This window comes from Homo sapiens, chromosome 18 (genome assembly GCF_000001405.40).
Source record: "Homo sapiens chromosome 18, GRCh38.p14 Primary Assembly".
NCBI classification, from domain to species: Eukaryota; Metazoa; Chordata; class Mammalia; order Primates; family Hominidae; genus Homo; species Homo sapiens.
The window spans coordinates 9,600,312-9,619,949 of NC_000018.10; the positions used below are offsets into that span (position 1 = coordinate 9,600,312).

The 19,638-nt window shown below is 42.3% G+C and overlaps 1 protein-coding gene, 1 long non-coding RNA gene and 1 pseudogene across 21 annotated transcripts in view, besides 4 other annotated features; 1 reads left to right on the forward strand and 2 right to left on the reverse strand.

The window, feature by feature from the left end:
* Positions 1 to 16,888, reverse strand: part of PPP4R1 (protein phosphatase 4 regulatory subunit 1) — a 70,406-nt gene extending 53,518 nt beyond the window's left edge. For 10 of the 19 annotated variants that reach the window (NR_052003.2, NR_168403.1, NR_168404.1 and 7 more), the window contains exons 1-2: positions 14,167 to 14,248; positions 13,915 to 13,959 (exon numbers count right to left, since the gene is read on the reverse strand). Coding sequence is in view for 13 of the 19 variants with exons in the window: in XM_047437979.1 (XP_047293935.1) it covers positions 13,915 to 13,959; positions 14,167 to 14,173 (52 nt within the window). In the remaining 6 variants the exon portion in view is untranslated. Of the gene's footprint in view, positions 1 to 12,145; positions 13,964 to 14,166; positions 14,249 to 14,707 lie in introns of those variants that run through there. The other 9 variants (XR_007066261.1, XM_047437976.1, XM_047437973.1 and 6 more) reach the window with 2 other exon arrangements.
* Positions 13,365 to 13,444: an enhancer, noted in NCBI's record as "active region_13076". NCBI's record gives its function as "activates an Ori minimal core promoter by ATAC-STARR-seq in GM12878 lymphoblastoid cells {active_cell/tissue: GM12878}" and the evidence as "EXISTENCE:reporter gene assay evidence [ECO:0000049][PMID:35858748]".
* Positions 13,715 to 13,964: a silencer, noted in NCBI's record as "silent region_9284". NCBI's record gives its function as "represses an Ori minimal core promoter by ATAC-STARR-seq in GM12878 lymphoblastoid cells {active_cell/tissue: GM12878}" and the evidence as "EXISTENCE:reporter gene assay evidence [ECO:0000049][PMID:35858748]".
* Positions 14,065 to 14,334: a silencer, noted in NCBI's record as "silent region_9285". NCBI's record gives its function as "represses an Ori minimal core promoter by ATAC-STARR-seq in GM12878 lymphoblastoid cells {active_cell/tissue: GM12878}" and the evidence as "EXISTENCE:reporter gene assay evidence [ECO:0000049][PMID:35858748]".
* Positions 14,435 to 14,944: a silencer, noted in NCBI's record as "silent region_9286". NCBI's record gives its function as "represses an Ori minimal core promoter by ATAC-STARR-seq in GM12878 lymphoblastoid cells {active_cell/tissue: GM12878}" and the evidence as "EXISTENCE:reporter gene assay evidence [ECO:0000049][PMID:35858748]".
* On the forward strand, positions 14,496 to 19,052 carry PPP4R1-AS1 (PPP4R1 antisense RNA 1). Of its 2 annotated transcripts, none has more exons than NR_110773.1 (3): positions 14,496 to 14,703; positions 16,837 to 16,974; positions 18,884 to 19,052. It is a non-coding gene; the product is annotated as a PPP4R1 antisense RNA 1 (long non-coding RNA). The 2 variants fall into 2 exon arrangements; NR_110774.1 differs by lacking the exon at positions 14,496 to 14,703 and adding an exon at positions 14,953 to 15,024.
* Positions 17,676 to 17,761, reverse strand: RNU6-903P (RNA, U6 small nuclear 903, pseudogene; annotated as a pseudogene).
* Positions 19,053 to 19,638: the final 586 nt, after the last annotated feature.

Here is a 19,638-nt window from a genome sequence, read left to right on the forward strand (position 1 = left end):
CTAACCCAAAATAAAGTCTGGAAAGGAGTAACAGAGGAAAAAACCATAAGTCAAACAGAAAATAAATAGCAGAATCACAGACCTAAATGCAACTAGATCAATAATTACATTAAATATAAATGGACTAAAATATTTCATTTAAAAGGCAAAGATTATCAGACTATCAGAAATATAGTCTGACTACCAGAGATACATTTTTAAAGACAAAATTTCAACCATTAGGTTGAAAATAGTTTTTTAAAAAGATATAACACAAAATAGTAAGCATAAGAAAGCTGGAGGCCGGGTGTGGTGGCTCACGCCAATAATCCCAGCACTTTGGGAGGCTGAGGTAGGTGGATTGCTGGAGCTCAGGAGTTTGAGATGAGACCAGCCTGGGCAACATGGTGAAACCCCATCTCTATAAAAGATACAAAAATATTAGCTGGGGGTGGTGGTGCACACCTGTGATCCCTGCTACTTGGGAGCCTGAGGTGGGGGGATCACTTGAGTACGGGAGGCAGACATTTCAGTAAGCTGATATAGCTCCACTGCACTCCAGCCTGGGTGACAGAGTGAGAATGTCTCAAAAAAAGAAAAAAGAAAAAAAGCTGGAGTGGCTATATTATTATGAGACAAAATAGATCAAAGACAAGGAGTATTACTAGAAATGGAGACATTAGTACTTCAAGACTCTTGAATTCTTATGTAGCTCTGCATAACTAAAGTTTACAGATTCTTGAACACTGTAATAGCAGCAATAGCCCTATACTGTTCCATGGCTTTTAAAATCCAGCCTCTTTCACTGATGAAGTAAAAAAACCATACATCACCTTTTAATGTTATCTGAATTTTTTAAATGACCAAAAAGCATGCAATACAGTGTTCAAACCAGGTTGTTATTGTTACTGTTGTTTTTTTTTTTGGGGAAAAAAAAAAAAGCATATACTGGCCGGGAACGGTGGCTCATGCCTGTAATCCCAGCACTGTGGGAGGCTGAGGCAGGTAGATCACTTAGAGGTTAGGAGTTCGAGACCAGCCTGGCCAACATGGTAAAACCCCTTCTCTACTAAAAATACAAAGAAATTAGTCAGGCATGGTGGTACGTGCCTGAAATTCCAGCTACTTGGGAGGCTGAATCACAAGAATCACTTGAACCTGGGAAGTAGAGGTTGCAGTGAGCCAAGATGGCACTGCTGCACTCCAGCCTGGGTGACAGAGTGAGACTCTGTCTCCAAAATAAATAAATAATTTTTTTAAAAAGTGATCTCAGCTCACTGCAACCTCCGCCTCCCAGGTTCAAGCAATTCTTATGCCTCAGCCTCTTGAGCAGCTGGAATTACAGGCAGGCGCCACAACACCTGGCTAATTTTTGTATTTTTAGAAGAGACGGGGTTTCACCATGTTGCCCAGGTTGGTCTTGAACTCCTGGTCTCAAGTGATCCGCCCGCCCTGGCCTCCCAAAGTGCTGGGATTACCGGCGTGAGCCACCGTGCCTGGCCAAAAGAATGGAATTCTTAATAGGAAGAGAAAACCTAGGATATAAACTAAGGCCCTACACTTAAAGCTTTAGTTCATCTTATCTCTAAGACCCTTTGAAAACTGCTGCTAAACATAAACTAGGCTCAATATAACCTTCTAGTTCCAAATTATGAAAGGAATCAAATATGTTACAATACAAATAAAGAGAACATCAGGAAGGAAGATGACAAGGGAAAGAAACAACAAAACAATGACATTAATCCTTGTTACCTATAGAACTGAATGACTTTTTGTATAGACGTGAGATTATGTAACAGCACAAAACAACTGTCATAGCTCCAGAAGTATCCTCTCTCTATACTACTTGCAGTTCCCTGAATCTAACACAGAAATCCAAAGTAGCAGAAGAGAAATTCCAATTTTTCGCTTTTTTAAATTTAAGAAAAAGTGCCTAAAATGTAATAGTTTAAAAGTTGTGGCCAGGCGCGGTGGCTCACGCCTGTAATCCCAACACTTTGGGAGGCCAAGGCAGGCGGATCATGAGGTCAGGAGATTGAGACCATCCTGGTTAACATGGTGAAACCCCATCTCTACTAAAAAAAAAAAAAAAAAAAAAAAAAAAAATTAGCCGGGCGTGGTGGCGGGCGCCTGTAGTCCCAGCTACTTGGGAGGCTGAGGCAGGAGAATGGCATGAACCCGGGAGGCGGAGCTTGCAGTGAGCCGAGATTGCGCCACTGCACTCCAGCCTGGGCGACAGAGCAAGACTCTGTCTCAAAAAAAAAAAAAAAACTTGCACCTTTCCTTTAGCCATGCGCAGTGACTCACACCTTTAATCCCAGCACTTTGGGAGGCCAAGGTGGGCTGATCATCTGAGGTCAGAAGTTTGACACCATCCTGGCCAACATGGTGAAATCCCATCTCTTCTAAAAATACAAAAATTAGCTGGGCTAAAACAGGAGAATCGCTTCAAACCAGGAGAAGGAAGTTGCAGCGAGCTGAAATCGCGCCACTGCACTCCAACCTGGGCGACGTACTGAGACACTGTCTCAAAAAAAAAGTTGGGCCCACCATAAAATTGTACATAGTCATAGCAAAACCGTGTGAAAAGAACAGAAGATTTTTAAGGTAAGAGAGATCTGGATTCAAATCCCATTTTGTCACTTATTATATTCATCTATAAAATAATGGTTAAGACTTTTAAGACACAGTGATAATGTCTGCAAATGTCTGCAACAGTGTTAGGCAAATAAGCAAATGTTCCCTCCCACTTTGCATTTCAGTTTGTTTCTAGATACAGAATATCTGTGTGTGGTTTCCAACTGTTTTTGTTTTCACTCATTTCATTCAACCAGTAAGTAGGGAAACCATGTGTTTTTAATAGTTTTCATTCAACCAATTAGTAGTCTTAATATAAATAGGACAGCACATACACTATCTACCATTCCCATTGACTTATTTATGCAACAAAGTTTCTCAGCACTTATAGCTCTTAAAATGAAAAGTAGAAATGATGTTAAGTATTATCTCATTCTAAGCAATAGATTATATTTATCCATGAATACATAATTATTTTGTAAAATTCCCATCCATTTCATTAAGAGATGCCTTTTTGATAAAATGTTATTTACTAGGTTTTTTCAATCTGTAATATATTCTGGTTGATCAACCAAGTATTAATAATGGAAACTCAATAAAACTTTAAGTTTTATATTAACGGGAAATTCAAATTTTTAATTTCTTTTTATTTTTTAATTTTTGAGAGAGAGTCTCATGTGATCATGGATCACTGCAGCCTTGACCTCCCAGGATCACACAGTCCTCCCAACTCAGCCTCCCTAGTTGGGACTACAAGTGCATGTGCCACCCACCATGCCCAGGTAATTTTCTTTATTTTTTGTAGAGCTGCTGGTCTATGTTGCCAGGGCTGGTCTCAAACTCCTAGGCTCAAGGGATCCTCCTGCCTCAACCTCCCAAAGTGCTGGGATTACAGGTGTGAGCCACCTTGCCTGACATAAAATTTAAATTTCTCTTTACCTATTTTTGGTGCAAAGAAATGTGACTGGGCAATCAACTCTCAAGCATGAAAATATGAAAATACATCAAGGTAAATTTCTGTGTGGAAAATGAAAAGAGATAAAGAAAAAAATGCAAGAGTCTCAATTTAAAGAATTTATTCACAATTTTTTTGTTTTATTTGTCTCTCACGGTCTTGCCTGAATATTTGTGAGTCTTAAAAAATGAATAGTGGGTATCCAAGTGCTATAGTATTTAGTCCATTTTAAAAAGTGATACAACTCTATGTTTAAAACACTGATATTTATAATACATTAGAAATATATCCTTTGCAAATATGGAAATTTTATGGAGAAAATTTTGAATGTCAACTTTAAAATACATGATACAGAGTTTTCAAAATTATTTTAGTAGGTATGCAGTAATAAAGTTTAAAGACCACGGTCCTAGACTGTTATTAACATAATTGCCTGGATCCATCTACTCCCAGCCTCCCCTCATTCGAATCCAGTTTATATATCAGCACCACTTCAATCTTCCCACTCTGTTCAATAGATGCCCTTGCACGCCCTCCCTCCCAATCCCTACCATTCCACCCCCTGATAAGCCTCCCAGGCAGTCTGAATTAAGGTACAACTTTCTTTCTCATGCTGTAATTCAAGGGTGTCCAGGATCTGGCCCCAACCTAGTTTCCTCCTCTGTACACAGCCCATGTGGAGTCAATTTGCTGCAACATGCCCCACTACTTTTCTGTCTTATGTGGTTTCATCTGTTCCATTTCTGTCCTCTCTAACCTCATCTCAGCTTAAATTTACCTATTACTAACAACACCCAGGAGGCATTTTCTATTTTCTAATTAAGAGTTCTTCCTTTTAATTCCCTGCCGTCTTGGGTGCCCTTGCTTTTACTCCACCAATAATTGCAAAGTATTTTTCCTTTTTTTCATATTCTCCTACCTTCCCTTCTCCTCTCCCTCCCCAACATATATAAATTCCCTAAAGATTGTCTTGCTAAACTTTTCATTATCTAAAAAACAGAGTCCAATGCTTCTCATGGAGGCACATTCATTAATATTTGTTAATGAAAATGTAGTCCATAGGGATAATTGATAAGTCAAGAGTTTACTATACTTTATCCTTCTCTAAGATATTCACAAGCACATTAGCATATTAATACCTTGAGAAGTATCACACCAAAGAGAACTTTTTAATTCGTACAAACTTTTATCAAAATTGATCAAAACACCCTTCTATTCTCTACATAATCTCTAATAATGTAACGTAAAACATAAAAAAGCTCATAGTCTATCCTTCCCTTCAGTTTTTCCCTAGATACTGCTCAGGCCACAATAAATCGGCCACATTTTGTTTCCCATCTTTACATTTTAGAAAATGAAAGACAATGAGATACACCACAGAATGAGTTACCTTATAAAGATTTGGGGCTTTAAAATTATATTTTAACAAATAAATATACCAACAAATGAATAGGGAGGAAGATCAGGCTCTTCTATAAAGCAGAATGTCAGCTAGTAAATGCAATTAATTCAGGCAAGAATCATCAACACATTCTAACACTAAATGGGTAAATGTTTGGAAACAGGGTATTTCCCCATTGTCAAACTATTTCCTTACTAATTACAATAGGAAAAACAGAATCTTTACAGTGGAGCAATTTGATAGACATCACCTCCACACTACCAGTAATGGACACTGCTATCAGGTGCTCCTTAATCTGAAGCACTGAGAAAACTACACTATCACTTATGTAGCAGTCCTGTCAAAAAAAAAAAAAAAAAAAAAAAAAAAAAGGAAAGAATAACCTGAATCAAATCATGAGGAAACAGATAAAACCAAATGGACTCTTCAAAAATGTCAATTTCATGAATGCTAAAGGCTGAGAAATTGTTCCAAACTAGTAAGTTTGTAAGTAATGTCCTTACAGCAAAAGACAGTTGCCATAAGGACATTACTGGGGATATTTCAATATGTACTACATACTATATAACAGGATTGTAGCAATGTTAAATTTCCCAAATTTCATTACTATGATTGTAAAAGTGCCCTTGTTCTTAGGAGACACAGGCTAAAGGTCCCAATGACCACAACCTATTTTCAAAGGTACACCAAAAAATTACATTACATTGTGTGTGTGTACATAACTGTATAGAGAAGTAACGAGCAAACTGGCAAAATGTTAACAGCTTAATTCAGGTGAAGAGTTGGGAATTCATTACAATATCTGTGCAGCTTTTGTATAGGTCTGAAAGTTTTCAAAATAACAAGTTTAATTAAAAATAATTTCATTATTTGACCCCAAATTAGGTTTACGGTCTTATTTAGCTTGGTGTGAAACATCAAGATTCATTCAATACTTATTCTACATTAAGCACTGATGAGATGTATTGCTGAACACTGTGTGATGAGTCAAGAATAAAAATGTTACAGACCTTGGATTTTATAGCACAGTGAAGGGGTTGGCCAACTACAGCCAGCGAGCCAAACTGGCCCACCTTCTGTTTTCGTAAATAAAATTTTATTGGATGACACTTACTTTCATTCATTTCTGTATTGTCATGGCTGCTTTTACCTTACAACAGCAGATCTGAGTAGCTGCAACAAAGATCATATGGTCCACAAAACCTAAACTATTTAATATTTGGCCTTTTACAGGGACCATACAACATAATCTTTATAGTCTCCAGCAACAGGTATGTCAAACTTTAATTTTGTACTTTGCAATAATATAAATAATGTTTATCAGAAACCCTTCCTTCAAATATCAATACTAAAAGCTTACTAAATCCTTAGAAATGCAAAATTGTCCTATAGCACAACTGAATTTAAGGCAAGAATAATTTGCTGAAGTATACTATATGTATATTCATATATGTATTTATATTTATATATATACACCATATGTATAATGTATTTCTATTTATATAATACAGTAGTGGCATGTTTATCTAGTTTCAAGTTAGTTACCAAGATTATGTATACAAACAGTATTTAACAGAAAGGTAGTATAACAAAGCACTTGCTCTGACATACACTTGTGGATCTCCCAAATATTATAGATATTTGTTCCCTTCAGTGAGTAAAAATTTTCTTTGCACTCTTAACGCAATTACTTTGGTAGTAACCTTTTTTCCCACAGGTAATCCAAATACAAAATTTGAACTAACTCAGGTCCAAATTGCCACCAATCTTAAATAAATGAAGTATTGAATAAATGAGTTATTTCTATCAAAAATGAATTTCATAGATTTAAATATAAAAGTGATCTACATCAGGCTGGGTGCAGTGGCTCACACCTGTAATTCCAGCACTTTGGGAGGCCAAGACAGGTGGATTGCTTGAGCTCAGGAGCTCAAGGCCAGCCTAGACAACATGGCAAAACCCCATCTCTACCAAAAATACAAAAAAATTAGCCAGGCGTGGTGGTGCAGGCCTGTGGTCCCAGCTACTTGGTAAGCTGAGGTGGGAGGATTACTTGAGTCCGGGAAGCAGACGTTGCAGTGAGCCAAGATAGTGCCATTACACTCCAGCCTGGGCAACAGAGCCAGACCCTGTCTCAAAAAAAAAAAAACAAAAACAGAAACATGGATAAATGAAAGTCAAAACCGAGTAGTAGAGACATGATGGTCCATCTGCCTTTGTATATGTCTTAAGTATCTGTAATATATAACGAACTCTCAAAATTTAATAAGAAAATGTCCCAATGAAAAGATGAGCAAAAGATGTGAAAAGGCACTTCACCAAAGGAGATAAGTTAGATGGCAAATGAGCACATAAAAAGAGTAACATAATTAGCCATTAATGCAAATTCAAGCCACAAATTAATACTATTATACATTTAATAAGAGTGGCTAAAATTAAGACTGCTCACACTAAGTGTTGACAATGATGATGAGGACCTGGAACTCTCATACACTTTTGGTGGGAATGGAAAATGATATAACCACTTTGGAAAACAGTTTGGCAGTTTTTCTTTCTTTCTTTTTTTTTTTTTTTTTTTGGATGGAGTTTCGCTCGTTGCCCAGGCTGGAGTGCAATGATGCAATCTCGGCTCACTGCAACCTCTGCCTCCCAGGTTCAAGTGATTCTCCTGCCTCAGCCTCCCGAGTAGCTAGGATTACAGGCATGCACCACCACGCCCAGCTAATTCTTTGTATTTTTAATAGAGACGGGGTTTCACCATGTTGGCCAGGCTGGTCTTGAACTCCTGATCTCGGGTGATCCACCCGCCTCGTTCTCCCAAAGTGCTGGGATTACAGGCATAAGCCACCGCACCGGGCTGGCAGTTTCTTAAAAAGTTAAACAGCCATTCTACTTCTAGATGTATACCCAAGAGAAAGAACATATATATTCACACAGACTTGTGTGTGAATGTTCATAGCAGCTTTATTTGTAACAGCAAAAAAACTGCAGATGATCCAAAAATCCATCAACATTTTAAAGGTAGAAAGCTGAGAAAAAGTTAACTTGCTCAGATTATAAAGAGAATAAATGGCAGGGCCAGAATATTAACTCAGGTCTAAAGGCTTACCAAGCCCAGTGTTCTTTCCCCTACACAAAACTATACTGAGGTATCTTCCAGAATGACTGCATGATAGATGCTCAAATACCAACCACATTCATATCAATAAGGCCAGAAAGTAAGTTAAGTTTGCTCCTTAGTCTAGGGAGATAAGAAGCTAAGATGACTTAAAAGTTAGGAGAGTTAAGAAATGAATGTGGAGGAAGCAGCATTGATGATGTCACCAGCTCAAAGATCTGTGCTAAAAGCAGAGCAAGTTCCAGACCCTCTTATAGAAATTAGAGGGAATACCTCCTCAGCCAAAATTCCATAGGTGTGCCATCCAGACTTCTGCCCAAAACACTAAGTTAGGTTTATTCTCAGCTCCAATTTAAAAACAACAACACAACTCTAATTCAAATTTAGGAACTTTCAAATTCTTTTACTCCAAAATATAAAAAAAAGATGTAATACAAACATAGGAGCAAGGTAACAATAGTTTAATAAACATACATTCATTGTTTTGAGGAGACTGAGAGAAAAGGACCAGAAATAATAAACCAGAGATCAAACAAATGTGGCAGCAGACTTCTGAACTTTACCTCCTGAGGTCTATTTATCTTTCACAGGCAGGAACAAACAAAAAGTATGCATTTAGGTGTCTTGGTTTTTTATTTTTTGGAGGGGGGAGGGCAGTGGATCGTGTAGCTACAGGCCCAAGCATATTTACAAAGGGGTTTTTCTCTCTGTCTCTCTCTCTCTCTCTTTCAATTTTATGTGGGAAGTTGTTAGCAGAGGTATCATTAATTGATCCAACACACATGTGGGTACCACTGAAACCATTTTAAAAGCACTCTTTTCTAAGATATCAATGATATTATCTCTAAATAAAGATCTCTCCATCCAGGCTTGTTGGCAGCAGTCAAAACAGGCTACCAGGTCTCACGACTCACCCTCCCAAATCCCTATTTAACAATACTCCTAAATATGATTCACGTTCAAGGGCACCTTCCAAAGGTTTCTGAATGATTCCCTGGCCACTACCAGATACAGCCCCAATATTTTGCTCCTCACCTCCCACCGGAAGCAAGGACTCTAAGCTTATCAGAACTGGTTTTGAAACATGGTAGGAAGGCCTGAAGATTCTGCACAGAGTGCGGTCTAGGCGGTTACCCTCAGTTAGTTCTGGACCCATCCTTCACTCTACTTCAACACCGCCCTTAAACCCGAAAAACAGCATAATGTAAAAGGATTCCAAAACTTAAATATGAAAAAAGTCTGTTGTATGGCATACTCAATAACATAGCTTCAAAAACTTTTCAACGTCATACTTAGTTACAGCTGAGATAAAAGTTAACGACTAAATAAGCTGTCTTATACCCAAGCTCCATCCTCTCTATCATTCTCCAGGTGTAAACTAAACCACATGCAGCATCCCAGATTAATTTTCAAGGGTACTTTAAGAACGAGTTCAAAGAAATTGCCTGTACAAGTTTGGGTTGATCAATATTTTAAACTGGGCCATTTAAGAAAATATTCAAAATATGATATTTAGAATCAGAAGGCCTAGCTTAAAATTCCGTCTAAACTTAGGAGTTTTGTTTCTTTAGTCCCTTTGGGCATTAGTCAACTTACTTATTAGTATTAGAATACCACAGCCTACACATCACAGGACTGCTGTGAAGAATAACCTGTGTATGAAAGGCACTGTAAACTAAGCGTTACATAGCCATTCTTTAAAAATAACATTCTTCAACATATTACTTTGATAAAAGCTTAAGTTCTAATGAAACTCCTTCAATGAAATTATTTTTACAAGCATTGGCTCATCAAATCTTAACCGTATCTTAGTCTCATTTCATTTTAGGAATCTACCAACTTAAATGTGAATCAAAATTGCATCTTTGGAAACTAAAACAGAAATCTGAAATAATTTTTTCTAAACATCTACAATTTTGTATTGTCTCCCATTATTTAAGGAACATAATTAAATATAAAAAGTTAAAAAGGGTTTACCCAACTCTGAAATCTGCTGAGATAACCTATGTTCAAATGGAGTCACTGGTTTGCTTTCAATTTGAAATTCAAAGTATTTCATGATACAGTACTGAAAGTTTCACTTTTAAACTTAAATACATATGGTTTTTATTGCATTATTCTCCTAAACTTTTTTTTTTTGAGACGGAGTCTTGCTCTGTCGCCAGGCTGGAGTGCAGTAGCACAATCTTGGCTCACTGCAACCTCTACCTCCTGGGTTCAAGCAACTCCCCTGCCTCAGCCTCCTGAGCAGCTGCGACTACAGGTGCACGCCACCACGCCCAGTTAATTTTTTTTTGTATTTCAGTAGACATTTCACCATGTTGGCCAGGATGGTCTCGATCTCCTGACCTCGTGATCCGCCCACCTCGGCCTCCCAAAGTGCTGGGATTACAGGCATGAGCCACTGCACCCAGCCTATTCTCCTAAATTTAAGAGTACCTGATAATGATTTCATTTACTTACCTTTATAAGTTACTTGATAAAAGTTTAAGTTCTAATGAAACTCCTTCAATGAAATTATGTGTACACACACACACACACACACACACACACAAATACCATCCATTTTTCCCTCATTAGGATTTTTTTTCCTCCAAAGGTTATCAGTCAAGTCAGTCTTTGACCAACCTTTTCCCCGACTCTGTGCCTCTGTACAGAGACGGGATTAAAACAAATCAAATCGAAAGACCTGAGACTCTTAGCAATGTCTGGCAATGCCCCTCTTTCAAGTCCTAGACTCCAGCTAGGTCCTTTCCTAGATCATCTGCACAACAGAACTTACTGTCTCTTCCCTCATAGTCCAGGTTCTGCATTTAGGAAGGTCAACCAAGATTCTAGAGCTTGACCAGAAAACAATTTCTTCCCATCCCAAGGGCCAACTTACACCTAGCTTGGCTGAAGTAGTAGGACTTGTTTACAACTACTCTGGAGGTTGGGCTCCATACTCTGGAGTTTTACCATAGACAGAGAAACTCAGGCTCACGAGATAACAACCGTGTTATAAGGGCAGCCCAAGCTCCGTTCCTCTACCTTTGGGTCCTCTACCTTCTCCAGCTTCTCCAGGATGTGACAGCTGTCTCAGTCCTTTACCAACCATCTTGCTCTCTAAGGAGGCACCATGGCCCAGTGTTCCCCCTCATTCTTTCTCCCTTCACAAGAGATGGGAAGTGGTCCTTCAACTGGCCATATGTCCAAAAGTCCTTTGTTCCTGAATATTCTGGGTAAAGGTATCACCTGTAAAAACTTTAGTAACTGAGAAAAATAAGCAATTACTCTAACAAAGCCTTCAACCAAATTATGAATATGCAAATAACTATTGTGCCTTCAATGTCTGTTTTATCCTAAATTAAAATGCACAGGAAACAGAATCTTTAAAAAGTTAGTTGCAGCCGGGCGCAGTGGCTCACGCCTGTAATCCCAGCACTTTGGGAGGCCAAGGCAGGTGGATCACCTGAGGTCGGGAGTTCGAGACCAGCCTGATCAACATGGAGAAACCCCGTCTCTACTAAAAGTACAAAATTAGCCAGGCGTGGTGGCACACGCCTGTAATCCCAGTTACTTGGGAGGCTGAGGCAGGAGAATCACTTGAACCCGGGAGGCAGAGGTTGCGGTGAGCCGAGATCGCGCCATTTTGCACTCCAGCCTGGGCAACAAGAGTGAAACTCCATCTCAAAAAAAAAAAAAATTTAGTTGCGAGCATTGGCAGCATCTTTAAGTACCTTCATTCTGTAAGGTTCAACATCAGTGTTTCCTTCTCTGCTCTTCTTTTAAGCTTCCCTTGCTCTTTTCTCATAACAGCAAACATAATCATAATCATCGCTGTTTACCAGGAATTGTTCCAAGTGCTTCAGAGGCACTAACTCATGTACAGCCTTGAACAACTCTATGAAGTAGGTAATATTTCTTATGCCTACTTACAAATGACAAAACTGAGGCATAGGGAGGTTAAGTGAGTTGCCCAAGTCTGCCCAAAAAGACACTGCTAAGACAAACAGAGCAGCCTGGCTCCAGTGGTAACTGTAATACTGTACTGTACACCTAGATTCAAAACTGCTTGTAAACCACTAGAGGGCATGGGTTGTGCCCATCTTTCTCAAAGCTCCATCCCCAGTACCTGGCAGAGTGTTGAAACTCATGGTTGAATTTTTCACAGGTATGCCTTCCCCTCTACACTGTGCTTCTTGGGGGCTAAGGAAGAAACTGAGACTGCATTTCATCCTTCAGGAGTGAGAAGTTTTTGCTCCAGTCATAAATACTTGCTGAATAAATGAATCTTCTATTTACGAAGTCGAACATAAATATAAAAAGCCCTCCTCGAGGTAACATAATCAGGGCCATTTCTCCAATCCTAACCTGGCAAGAGATCTGAAATCAACAGATGCCTTAAATAATATCTCAAACTTACTATTAGGCAGATAAGTGGCTTAAGGTAAACATTAAATAAAATGTTAAAGCTGCCCTTCACTACATGAGTACTGCTCCCTTTAAGAGAGCTGTTTTGAGCCACCTCACTAAAAACACAGACTTAGCAAAAGTTTGGATGTGGTTCATTTACTTTAAAGATAAATTACTCGTTTCAGATAATCCATCTAAATAGTAAATCCCCCTTACTTTACTCAAAACAACCAGGAATCTAAAAATTAAGTTTACTCTGAGTAAGGGAACCACATTAGACAATGCTAAGGATTAACTACAGAGTATTTAAAAGAGTAATTTCAAACTGCAGCCATCTCTGAAATTACTTATACAGGTACTAGACAGTCAATCTCAGCATCCGGTAGGCTTTCCACTAAACAGACCACAATCCTACTATGGTTATCATCTCAACTCAGAACAATTTCTTGGTCCCTTATGTATCCCATGATCTTCGCTTATATATTTTGCACACTCTGCATTTTTAAAATGCATCTCAAAACCTATTGATTTTTTGATGGGTCGCTATTTTGGAAGATTAGCAAGAATAGAAACTATTTTAAGTTAACTGCAATTTGTCACTTCTTTCAATACAAACCTGCTTAACTCTTTTGTCTTTTCTATCGTGACCCAAATTATTTTCTGAGGCTTAGAAAAGTACATATAAGACGAAAAATTCCTTTCTAAATATCAATTCCGTCGCCATCAGGAAATGTCAGAAACTTTGTCTTTTTAAAAATAAAAGCGTCAACTCTTTAAAAACTTCAGTACCTCAAAGGAAAGCTGCACTGTTAACACTGAAGGAGGGCTGGGTGATTTCTGAACATCCGCATTAAAGAAATATGCTCTCCAAACCTAGTAATTCCTGCGGAGGCCACACCTTCTAACCTTCTCGTAATCCACTAATCAAATCGGGAGCATCTGAAAACTGCTACCAGCCAAAGTAAAATGACAGGTATGTCATCCTCAAACAATCCAAAACCGGGTCGGGGAGCCCAGACGGCTAGCCGGGGCCCAGGCTGACCCCCGGGCGCTCCTGGAAGAGCGACTCTAAGGAAACACACCTCCCGCGCGAGCCTCTTCCTTCCTAGAGTGACGGGGGAAGGGGACACCAGGGGCAGAAACACACCCAAACCCCACTTCAAATCCTGCCCCACCGCTTCTCCTTCCAAAACAGCCGCGCCACTGCTGAGCCCGCAGGCGATTCGGGGGCGCCGGGAGAAGAGAGCGAAGGGCGGAAAGCGAACTTGGGCGTTACTCCGGGCGTCTCCCTCCCCCAGCGGAACCTGGGCGCGCCGTTTCCTCACGGACGCGAGATTTTCCCCCCCGATCGCCACCCCAGCCCGCCTGGGGCCGCCCTCGCCCACCGTCCCCTCAGCCAGCCAGGGCCCGGCCCAGGCCTCGCCGCCGCCCGCCCTCCCCGGCCGCTCCCCGCGGACTGCCAGGCCACCGCGAGGCCGGGCCACTCACATCCGTCTGCGTCCTCCTGCAGGTCCTCCTGAAGCAGCGAGAGGTCTGCGCCGAGGGGAGAGAAGAAAGGCCCGGTCAGCGCCCCGGGGCCCGGCGCGACGCCCCCCCCCCGCCCGCCTCCCCCCCGCCCCGGGGGCGCCTTCCCGCGCCGGGACCCCACGCCGGCCCCGGCCCGGCAGCCACTCAGGGCTGCGGCGGAGGGCGGGTGGGCTCGAGGAGCCGCCGCCGCCCGGAGAACAGGGGGCCACGTACCCGCCATCTTGTGGTCGCCCCCTCCTCCGCGGCCGCCCGGGGAGCCGGGGCTACATGGAGCGGCGCGAGCCGGGGAGCCGGTGGACGCGCGCGGGAGGGGCGGCGGGGAGGAGGAGGGCCGGGCTGGCGGGGGCGCGCGCGCGGGGCGGGCCGAGGGCCCGGGCCTGCCGCGGGCGGCGCGGCTCCCGGCCGCCCGGGCCCCCGGCCGCGCCCCGCCCCGCCCCGCCTGCCCCTCCGCGCGGCTCCCGGGCGACCGGCGCTCCCGCCTCCCGCCTTTCCCGCTGCTTGCCGGGTCCCGGCCCGGCGACGCGCGCTCACACCCTCCTCCCGAGCCGCCCTCACGCCGAGCGCTGCGGACGGGGGCGCGCAACCTGCCGCCGGCCGGGACCCTGCGGCGAGTGCCGGAACCCGGCCGGGCGGGGCCTCCCGCGGCCCGGCCGCTTTATTGGGTCACCGGCCTCGCCCACCGCCCTGCCAGCCGCAGCCATCTCGGCGGGCGCGCCGCTCGCAGCCAGCGCCCCATCCCCAGGCCTGCACGTACGTCGTCGGCGATCCGGGGCCGGGGGCGGCTCCGAGGTCGTCGGGGCCGGGGTCCCACCTCCTCTTGGAGGAAGCGCCGCCTCCCCACCCGCCCGGGGCCCTCGCCAAGTGGCTGCTAACAAAGCCCAGGGCCCGGCTGCGGGATGGTTGACTGACAAAGTCATGCCTGCCTAGCCAGCTTCCTCGTGCAGCACGGTGAAGGCTGGGGCGCCGGGTTTTTACTCCCACGTCCTGCCAACTCGAGCTGACAAGGCGGGCAATCCACCAGCGGGAGCGTTGGCAGGCCCGGGGTCAGATCCTGATTCAGCCAGTTAATTGGTAGGAGTGGGGCCCATTTGTAGAATGAAGGTGATAACTGCCTCGTGGGGTTATTGGCATTAAATGAAGAATGTAGGGAACCTAGCATGGTTCTTGATGTCTAGGAGGTGCTCGGTGAAGGGTGCCTATGATTCGCTTTGTCTTCTAAATACTTTTGGCAGCACTTGAGGTGTTAAAGTCTGTATCCCAGACTTTATTAGTCTTGTTGTTTTACGTGACTTAAGCGATTAGCTCAAACGCCCAAGTACAAAATGGGGCTAAACCCAGGTTTTCCGACACGATTCTACCTCCATGGCTCTATCTCCAGCTCCACCCAAGGCCTCCAAAATGGTGTTCTCCTAAAGTGACCAACAAAACACCAAGCTGTGTCATGGTGCCACTTTGGCGATGTGGTCTCTTAGGAGAGGGAATTCTAAGTAGTTAATTAGCTTGTTCCTTTCTACGTTGTAGTCTTGACCAAGGACAATGTGTTGGCATTTAATGCCACTGAAGATTTAAGAGACTAAGGAATCAGATCCTCTGAGATTCCTAAATCTGTGTAATAAAATGGGTTCTACACATAGCTATTCCAAAAAATTCAGTCAGATATTACTAACAAGATAGACAGATTATAATCTGTATGAAATTTCTAGGAGTAATAAAAATCAGAATAGACCCCGTAACCCCGAGTATGTGTCTAATTTTCTCAACTATAAAATAATTAAAACTAAAGGCCTTTCTCTTCCTCCCTTGGTGAATGCCCTTATGTGAATTCAGCTGACACACTCAGAATGACAAAGGAGTTAGAAATTCACATCAACAGCAATTGGTCCCAACTGACTCAAACCATGAGACTTCTGCCCTGCTAAGATACCTTGTCAGTATCTACCACTTTAGCAATTCTGGGTAAATGGGGGAAGAAAGAGCCAAATCAGCTCTTTTTTTTTTTTTCATTAAAAAGCAAATTTTTTTTAGAGCCAGTCTTGCCTTACGTAGCCCAGGCTGGAGTGCAGTGGCACAATCATGACTCACTGTAACCTCGAACTCCTGGCCTCAAGAGATCCTCCCATCTCAGCCTCCCAAGTAACTGGAACTAAAGGCACAGGCCACTCCACCTGGCCAATTTATTTTTAAAATTTTTTAGGGACGTGGTTCTACTGTGTTGCCCAGGTGGGTCTTGAACTCCTGGCCTCAAGCAATCCTCTGGCCTTGGTCTCCCAAAGCACCAGGATTACAGGTGTGAGCCACCAAACCCGGCCCAAATCAGCTCTTTATTCTAACTGGTGGTCTCACCGCAACAACACAAAATCTACAGCGTGCCAACTGTGCTTCAGCCGCTGGATGCACTAAGACAAAACTGTCTTGATCTACACAGTTGAGTTAGACTTAACAGTTCTCAGTAATCATGATAAAATAGGGACTATGTACCAAATGCTAGCCTAGGATATGGAACAACTAATTCTGCCTTTGGTAGCTAGGCCTCAGTAAGTTTTATCTCAGTATTCTGTGGGAAGGGCAGCAAAGGAGGAGGATCTGTATCATTTTTCTGTATTCAAGAGCTATGCATTTGATTATCATCTTAGCTGAATTACACATTGCAAGAAGTGCCTTTAAGCAATATGGTTTTTAGATATTTCAGTGACGGTATCATTCATGGTTCAGCACAAATATGTGTTTTTTACATTTCACTTTCTCTCCTTTCTAAAAGAAAGGAGTTTTTAAACCAGTGTTTACAAACTGCACTCTGTCCCCTTCTTCTAAGAAATAATATTTAAACAAATAATAGCAATCATTATTCTACATACCTTTAACCCAGCTTCACTTACAATGCAGCTCGTGGATGGCAGAGCTGTGTGTTGTCCGTGGTCAGACACACAGGAAGTCTGAATTGTTATCCTGTTCTGCCACTGAAATGTGTAAAATATAGGGGGAGTGTCCCAAGTCATTTTCCTAAAAGCATCATCCAACTATGTAAGTACTAAGGCCTGCATTTTTAAGAATAAGTCCTCTTCCAAATGATAAGGAAAGGGTTTTTGTTTGTTTGTTTTTGAGACAGGCTCTTGCTGTGTCACCCAGGCTGGAGTGCAGTGGTGCAGTCTCAGCTCACTGCAACCTCCACCTCCTAGGCTCTGGCAGTCCTCCCACCTTAGCCCCCTGAGTAGTTGGGACTACAGGTGGGCGCCACCACACCCAGCTAATTTTGGTATTTTTTCGTAGAGACGGGGTTTTGCCATGTTGCCCAGGCTGATCTCAAACTCCTGGGCTCAGGTGATCTGCCCGCCTTGGCCTCCCAAAGTGCTGGGGTTATAGGCATGAGCCACTGTGCCTGGCCACAGTGACAATTTTTCTTAGCAGCCAATGAGCCTTGGAAATTAATGTGTCTGGCTTTTCAACCACAAACAAACATAAAAAAAAAATGGCGAAAACATCGCTAATAAACAAAACCCACCTGATGTTGCTTGCCACTATCATGTTTGTTAATTTTTGTATCGGTGATTGAACCATTCACTTTTTTCTTCAGAATTATCATTCCTGAAACTGAAAGTATATAAGGACAGCCCTATTATTTATTGTTTTAAATGATGAAAAGAGAAACAGTCTGAAAAATGGAGAAATACTTACATGATTAAAAATGATTTTTAAACAAATATTTATTTGCTTTTTTAAAATGAAATTTGCGTGTCATCTTTGCACAGGGGCCATGCTAATCTTCTCTGTATCAGTCTAATTTTAGTGCATGTGCTGCTGAAACGAGCACGTTAAACAAATTTTTACCATTCATTTCATTCATCTTTTTTGAAGCCAGATTGACAAAATGTCCCTCATAAACTCATTTTCAAATAAGAAGAACAATTTTTAGGCCATGTGTGGTGGCTCACGCCTGTAATCCCAGCACTTTGGGTGGCTGAGGTGGGCAGATCACCTGGCGTTGGGAGTTCGAGACCAGCCTGGCTAACATGACGAAACCCTGTCTCTACTAAAAATACAAAAAATTAGCTGGGCATGGTGGCACATGCCTGTAATCCCAGCTACTAGGGAGGCTGAGGCAGGAGAATCACTTGAACCGGGGAGGCAGAGGTTGCAGTGAGCCAAGATCATGCCACTGCACTCCAGTCCGGGACACAGAGTGAGAGTCTGTCTCAAAAAAAAAAAGGAACAATTTAAAAAAACTAATTGCCAGTCTCTTACCTAAAGCCTCCTATACATTTCTATACATTGTATAAAGGTAAGGACAGACGCAGTGGCTCACGCCTGTAATCCCACCACTTTGGGAGGCTGAGGCAGGCAGATCACAAGGTCAGGGGATCGAGACTATCCTGGCTAACAGTGAAACCCAGTCTCTACTAAAAATACAAAAAAATTAGCCAGGCATGGTGGCGGGCACCTGTAGTCCCAGCTACTCGGGAGGCTGAGCCAGGAGAATGGCGTGAACCCAGGAGGCAGAGCTTGCAGTGAGCCAAGATCGCGCCACTGCACTCCAGCCTGGGTGACAGAGCGAGACTGTCTCAAAAAAAAAAAAAAATTGTATATTTGTGAAATTTTACTTGTCCTCCTCTCTATGCTTCTTCTATCTCCCTTTAAAGCTCCCTGTCAAGGTGACATTCTGAATGTGAAGCCTTAGCCTTTCCTAGAGCTTTCATAGTTTTTCAAAGATACTTGATCTCTTTACTCACATCAGCTAAAGAGACATTTTCTCACACTGTGCTTAAGAAAGAAGAGAGAAAGAAAGAAGGGGAGGGAGGGAGGGAAGGAGGGAGGGAAAGAAAGGAAAAGAAAAGAAAAGAGAAGAAAAGAAAAGAAAAAAGAGAAGAAAAATACCTACAGAACTGAGCTCTATACAGAGTTACCCTGATTCAGGCTGTTCTTTCTACATTTACAGGAGCTGAACACTGCCCCGAGAATGCAACAGAACTTCAGCTCTGTCCCAAGGTCGTCAGCCACAGCTCCAAGTTTCTTAGCATCAGCTTTTTCTGAACAAAATAGTGCATCCTGCTGGAATCACTACTGTAAACTGAGTATAAAGGAAAATAAACCCTCTTTTTCTTATCCACTATGTTCCCTACTCCCGTGCTTTTCCCAGTGCTCCAGGTTAGTAGAGGCAAAAGAATTCCCCACTGATGAGGTACTACATCCTACACAATTTGTTCCACACATTTTAATTTCATTAAGAGAAAACAAAGATGTTTAAACAGTGAGCACTAAATGGATTAGAGTGGCAGTAGTAAATTTCCTTTGTGCCTTTCTCTTAGAATTTAGAAAGCTTTAGTTGCAATCCCATTCAAAGCAATATGGGAGAGGCTTCCACAATGCCTGGCACAGAGTACGTGTGGAGGAAATGCTTATCATTTTAGATGCTTATTATTTTAAATGTTTAAATGTTTATTATTCTGAATCTGAATGGATGAGTCAAGTTGAACCAGGAAATAAACCATAGCAAACCACATATTCAAACCCAGATAAGTTCAGTGGTTAACTGCCCTGACTCTAAGCTCCCTTCACACTAAGGCTGCTCTATGGTAATATGATTCAGAAGAAATTACTTCCATTCTCATTTCACTTCTCTGTAACTGTTTGTAACAAATTGCTTGTGTCTCTGGTCCTTGGTTCCTTCCTTTGGTGGGAAAAATATTAGCA